The sequence below is a fragment of the Homo sapiens genome, chromosome 4, assembly GCF_000001405.40.
Source record: "Homo sapiens chromosome 4, GRCh38.p14 Primary Assembly".
Lineage (NCBI taxonomy): Eukaryota > Metazoa > Chordata > Mammalia > Primates > Hominidae > Homo > Homo sapiens.
In genome coordinates this window covers 185473003-185480244 of record NC_000004.12, presented here as the reverse complement: position 1 = coordinate 185480244, position 7242 = coordinate 185473003, and positions in this window count along the sequence as shown.

The window sequence follows — 7242 nt, the reverse complement described above, 5'->3', positions numbered from 1 at the left end:
GATTCTCCTGTCTCAGCCCCCCGAGTAGCTGGGACTACAGGTGCCCACCATCACGCCTGGCTAATTCTCTGTATTTTTAGCAGACACGGGGTTTCACCGTGTCAGCCAGGATGGTCTTGATCTCCTGATCCAGTGATCCGCCCACCTCGGCCTCCCAAAGTGCTGGGATTACAGGCGCAAGCCACCACGCCCGGCCCCAAATTTCTTGTACCCTAAGGGCAATCTGGTCGTTTTTTCATGCTACTATAGATTTCATCTATGATTAATAATAGCCTTGTGATATCAGGTTTAAAAAAAGGTCTTATGAAACTGAAAAGCCCAGAAGTATTTTAGTCTGGTAATAAGTTGCTAAGAATAGGTTCCCTAGCTTGTTTTTGTGCAATGCTCTTGACTTTACTCCAGATTGTTAAATCTGCAGCTGTTAGTCAACAGGTGAAGAGGATTCCCTAGGAGGAGCTACTGTTTGAAGATTTTTGAAATACTGTGACTCACAGCTTTTGTTTAAATTGGTACTTCAGATTTTAATTCCATCCTTCAGCAAATGACCTTCACAATCAAAAAAAGTCAAAGATTTTTTTCAGGGCAGTTGGTGGACTGACTAACATATGTGGCCAGGGAAACCATACCCAACCCCCTACAGAATATGCTCTACCCTCTATCTGACATGGGGCCGAGTAAAATAGAAAGTCTCACCACAAGAAGGAGGTTTTGCAGGTGGAGTGGGATGCCTCATCAGGTATTGTGAACTTTCAGCTCTGAAGATGTTTATACGGTCTCTATACTCTTGTAAAATTTAGATTAAACACTGAGCTAACCCCTAGAATTGTAATGTGTTATGGGTTGGGGCAGAACCAAAGTTTCGGAATTAGGAAGTCTGGTACTGACCAATTACAAAGAGTTTTTTAAAGTTCCCTAACCTCATATTTTCATATTCCCACATAAATCTGGAAACAACATTTTTCCTAAAATTCTGCAACTCTCAATAAAATGACACATAAGCAAGAATATATCACCCACAACTTAATTATTGGGGTAATAATTACAATAAGGAAGGAGGAGATTTAGCATCTTCCAGAGTATTAAGGTTCTAGACTTTGTTTCCCTATTTCAAACAGGGTAACGAACATACATCACTGTCGCAGGAGAAGGAGGTGTCAGGAGGGCCTGGGCAAGGGGACTCTGCATACTTTTGCCAGGTTTTTGTGGCTATCACTGACCCTTTATTTCCTACATATTGAAAATGTGCATGCTGTAGAAGATACTGAGTCCTCAGCAGCAGCCAAAGAGGCTGGGAAAAGCTCAGAGGACCGGATCCTTCCAGCCTCACTGGGGAGAATGGTGTTTTCTCCACTTTGGAAGTCGAAAGGAAATTTCATTGTACTACTCCCTTTGACTTCAGTTAATTCTAATTTGTGTTCTAGATAAGCAAATAATCACCTTACTTGACTTTAGCAACTTTGCAATAAGAAACTTTAGGGTCAACATGGTAGATTGAGAGCACACATAGGAAAAACGCATTTTAAAAATATATTTTAAAATACAGCTGGTGTAAGAAATTATATTATTTACAGTAAATGGTACATCAATTGGATAGCCTTATTTTTTAATGGATGTTGGCCCCTACCTCACACTCTGTATAAAAATCAATTCCAGATGAATAGCAGATATACATATGAAAGATAAAGCTTTTAGAAAAAAAATATGGAAGGATCATTTCATGAGCTTGCAAAAAGCACACTTTGCGTGTCTAATCCCCAGGAGGAAAAGGAGACCATCCACGCATGAGGGAGCACCGGTATCATTGGCCAGAGCCTGGGACTGGCTGGTGCACAATGCCAGAGCCCGAGGAGTGGGAAGAGGTCCTCTACACATGGAGGAGGCCCAGCCCAGGGCGACGGAGCCCAAGCCAGGTGAGAACAGGGTCTGTACAGACGACAGGCCCAATATAAGGCTCAGGGTGCTAGTAGGATAGGAAGGAGGGACAGTGCAGGGCACTGGAACCTAAGTGGGATGACAAGGGTACCAAATGGGGACTGGGATGCAAGCCTGGCACTGAGAGAGTGGATGCCTGCAAGAGGTTTGCCCAAATACGTAAATCTATAAAGGATAATGGGAGCCACCTTTCTCATTTTTTGGTAAAGGAAATTATATATATGAAAAGTAAGAAAATTAGAAAGAGTGCTATGATATTGAACTGGAATTGGAGGTATCATGAATGTATAGTTCTCAATATATGTAGATAGATATAGAAATAAATAAGGATGTAATAGTGCATGTGTGTTTGTGTACATATGTTTGTATATGCATGTATGTACATATACATAATACATACACATACATACACACATATACTCATGCATATGCATTCAGACATTCCCTAGCTCTATCCACCAAGATGGCCTGGGAACAGTTACGCTCCTATAGCAACGTGTACACTTGGCCCCCTCATAAATGAATGTGAAATACCGTTAAAAGAAAACTAAGCCTCCTTGGAGAAATGGCTGATTTCAGAGTCAGGGCAGGGAAAATATAAGATGAGCCAGGAATATCTGCTTGTGTCAAGAAAACAAAGTGCTCCAGTAACGAAGGGGGGATGAGTCAAAGTATGCCGAAGCCAGCTACAGAAAAGGCCACTGACAAAATTGGGAAACTGAGCAATGATATCAATATTGTTAGCGACAGAAAACCCATTGTAACCCATCAAGTACAAGAAACTCTGTGTCCACACAGATAATTATAAATAAATGAACAAACTGAAAGTTTGATGAGGAATGGAATATTTACAAAGTACCTCTCCACAAAATACTTATTACATATGAGGCAAAAAAAATAACTTCACCATAGAGAAGCCTGGGAGACATCACCTTAGTCAAGTCATCAAATGAACATCATCTCTGATGGGACAAATCTAAATCACGTGCCACCTGATGGGATGCAATGACAAGGAACCAGCGTCACCTCTGATAGTCCTGACAAACATGCAGGATCTGAATCTAATCCCCAGAAAACATCAGAAAAAGCCGCAAGAAGGAATAGTCTACAAAATAACTGGCCTAGAATCTTCAAAAGTGTCAAAGTCTTGGAAGTCAAAGAGACTGAGGCACTGTTCAGATGAAAATAGAGACATGTCATGATAATGAAATGCAAGGCAAGATCTTCGACTAGATCCTTTTGCCACGAAGGACATTAGTGGAAGAATTGGTGAAACATGAATGGGGCCTGAAGATTAGATGGTAGTAATGTCTCAGTGTTAATTTCTAGATTTTGATGGCTGTATTGTTCTCCTGTTGGAGAGCTGGAGCGATTTCTCGTAAGATGCACACCAAAGTATTCAACAGTGATGGAATGTCATGTCAGCAACTCACTCTTAATGTTTCAGGAGAAAAATAAATGTGTGTCATACTGTGCTCCTGATTTTACTACAACTTGGTGAGCATGTCAAAGTTTAAAAATAATGGAGAGCAGGAGCCCAGCATGGTGGCTCACCCTGTAATCCCAGCACTTTGGGAGGCCAAGGCAGGTGGATCACCTGAGGTCAGGAGTTCAAGACCAGCCTGACCAACATGGTGAAACCCATCTCTACTAAAAATGCAAAAATTAGCTGGGCGTGGTGGCGGGTGCCTGTAATCCCAGCCACTCGGGAGGCTGAGGCAGGAGAATCACTTGAACCCGGGAGGTGGATGTTGCAGTGAGCCGAGATCGCACCACTGCACTGCAGCCTGGGCAACAGAGTGAGACTCCATCTCTAAAAAAAAAAAAAAAAAAATGGAGGCCAAAAAGACAAATACACTGGAAGAACAGAAAGATTGATCAAGCCCATTTTTACAATTGAATTAAAGATCTATTTTTAAAAATACAGATAGACCTAAAAAAAAAGTTGAGAAAAAAGAGCAAGCTGTAGAATAAAACATAAATTATATTATTTATGAAAATGTTTTAGACAAGAACAACTATTATATATTATTCACAAATATATATAATAACCATAAAAATATAAGAATGGACTGGAAGGTTGCACCCTAAATTCATAATAATGGTTTCTTGAGGGAAGGACGTGAGGAAGGAGGAGCAGGATATGAAATGCTGGGGAGTTCAACTCTACGTAATTTTAAAAAAATAATAATTAAAAATCAAATATGCCAACAGATGTCATTGTTAATTCTGGAAGATTGAAGCAGGGGGTTAGTTACATCACTCTGTACTTTTCATTATTTTTAGGCGTTAGTTACATCACTCTGTACTTTTCATTATTTTTAAATTACTCAAAAAAAGTAATTTAATAAGTAACACACAGTGAGAACTTTACTTTTTTTTTTTTTTTTTTTGAGATGGAGTCTCACTCTGTCACCCAGGCTGGAGTGCAGTGGCGCGATTTCGGCTCACTGCAAGCTCTGCCTCCCGGGTTCATGCCATTCTCCTGCCTCAGCCTCCCAAGCCCAAGTAGCTGGGACTACAGGCGTCCGCCACCACGCCTGGCTCATTTTTTGTATTTTTAGTAGAGACGGGGTTTCACCGTGTTAGCCAGCCAGGATGGTCTTGATCTCCTGACCTCTTGATCCGCCTGCCTCGGCCTCCCAAACCATAGTGCTGGGATTATAGGTGTGAGCCACTGCGCCCAGCCTTTTTTTTTTTTTTTTTTTTTTTTGAGACGGAGTTTTGCTCTGTCGCCCAGGCTCAAGTGCAGTGGCACGATCTTGGCTCACAGCAACCTCCACCTCCCGGATTCAAGCAATTCTCCTGCCTCAGCCTCCCGAGTGAGTAGCTGGGATTAGAGGCACCCACCAGCATGCCCAGCTAATTTTTTGTATTTGTAGTAGAGATGGGGTTTCTCCATGTTGGACAGGCTGGTCTCAAACTCCGCACCTCAGGTGATCCACCTGCCTCAGCCTCCCAAAGTGCTGGGATCACAGGCGTGAGCTACCGTGCCCGGCCGAGAAATTTTCATTTTATAGGCCATCTAAACACGCACTCACTGAGATGCCCAAACAATTTTTTTATTTTTAGAAGCTTGGCAAGTTCATCAAAGTTCACACACAATATAAACTAGACAACACATTCTACTATCTCTTTAAAATATACATTTTTTCTAATATTTGAGCTACAATAATTGAATCTTTTTCCACTGAAGTGTCAAGTTTTTTCAAAGAAGAACCACAGGAAAAAAAAATTTCAAAAGTGTTTATGGAATCCCACCCTAGACGGGGCTCTAGACCTGCCATTCACTGTCAGCCCCGTATGTGACCACTCTGCTTTCTCCTGGAGTAGGCCCTTCACCTGGGATTTCACTCATCCTCACTACTGGCTCACAGTTGTACAGATAAGGAAACTCCTTTTCAGAGAGGCCCATCATTCGGTCAGCCACGGAGTTCAAAATGCAGGTAGTTTCAAGCGCAGGTGAAAATGGTTTTAAGTGGCCATGGGTGATCAAATAAGATTTCTCCCTCAACATACATTTCACACTGCAGTGAATGTCCCTAAAGGGCTGTGACCACCTCCCACCCCCATTTTTTTAGAGACATGTCAATGCTCTAATTACCACTTCCAGATTCTCCCACCTCGAATACCAGGGTTGGCGCACGCAATGTTCATGTGAGGCCCTTCACGAGGGGGTTCATCTGAGAGGGTGATATTCAAATCATAGGCATCTTTATTATTGAAAACAGTTTTTAAAATATTATAACTGTTGGCTCCAAAGACAGCCTTTTTACATATTAATTGCAATAATTTTCTGACAAAATTTTTGTTTTAACTGAGAATATATATGTGATGTGCTTTACAAAAGAGAAATGAGTGTGATAATCAAAAGGCCTTATAGGACATCTAAAATAAAGTGTCCTTCTAACTAAAGAGCTGCTTTTCTGACTGATGAATGGATTAGGAAGTAGCTTAAAATGGAAGTAACTCTCTATTGAGATTAGTGCACTGGCTAAATCTGAGTTTGATGTTGTAGCATCTATCACCTGCTTTTTATATTCTACACTAAATGGTATGACTGAGTGCTCCCACAAAAATCCACAAGTAATTTCTATGTAATAACCGATATTAATTTGTCATCATAGTCCACAAATATTACATAGACAAATTAGAGTTATTACACATTATTACATAAATTATCAAATGATTAGATATTAATAATTAGCATTACATAAAATACAATATAGTAATTAATTGTGGAAACTTCAGTAGTATAAAAACAGACTTGCTAAAATGTAGTGGCTTTTTGTCATTCACCCTTTGAAGGAATGCAATTTATTTACAGTAGTAATTTCACAAACATATTGCTGAAAACTTGTGTAGCTCTCAGGAAAAAAATTAACTTTATCAATGAAGCAGCCTCATTGTGTGGGCTGACACCAAGGTTTGCTGTCTCACAGGGAGATCAAGGATGCAGACACACAAAGAGTGAGGTTAAGAGCCGAAATGTAATAGGCGACAAGAAAGGGAATAAGCTCTCCGCTACAGAAAGGGGTCCCCGGGTTGCCAATTCGCTGTGAAATATTTTTTATAGAATTTTATAGATGAGCTAATGGGGAGGCAGTCTGATCTACATAGGGCGTGAAAAACCAGTTAGGACCAGGTGTGCCATCTGCATAGGGCATGAATCTCTGGCAGCCCCCACCCCAATCTTTTACTACGCAGGTGGGTTCTCTGACTGAGCTTTTCCATATCGCCCATCTCTTTCTTACTGTACACGTGCTAACAAAAAAGGGGAGATGGAGATTCCATGGTGGACATGCCTGGCCCCCAGGTAGCCCTTTTCTATCAGCGCAGCTGCTGGCATCCACCCGCACGCTGCCCCCCAACCCCCTGCGCCCTGGTGTGCACGCTTCCAGCTTCCTGATCTATCTTTGCAAGGTTTGCAGGCTTTCAGGCTGCTCTTTGTTAGAAAAAAAAATGATTTCTTGAGCTGTTTTTTGTTAGAAGTTCTGCTGAAGACTCTTTTGCCCTATCTGCCTAAATAATTTCTATCTCCTGAATCATCAATATCAATCAGCAATGCAGACCATAAATTCTCAAAATTATAATTTATTAAAATTGTCTACAATGCCACAAGAAAGTCAAATCTTCTAGAGCCCATTTTTTTCTTTCTTTCTTTCTTTTTTTTTTTTTTTTTTTTGAGACAGAGTGTCGCTCTGTGGCCCAGGCTGGAGTGCAGTTGCACTATGTCGACTCACTGCAGCCTCTGCCTCCTGGGTTCAAGTGATTCTCCTGCCTCAGCCTCCCGAGTAGCTGGGATTACGA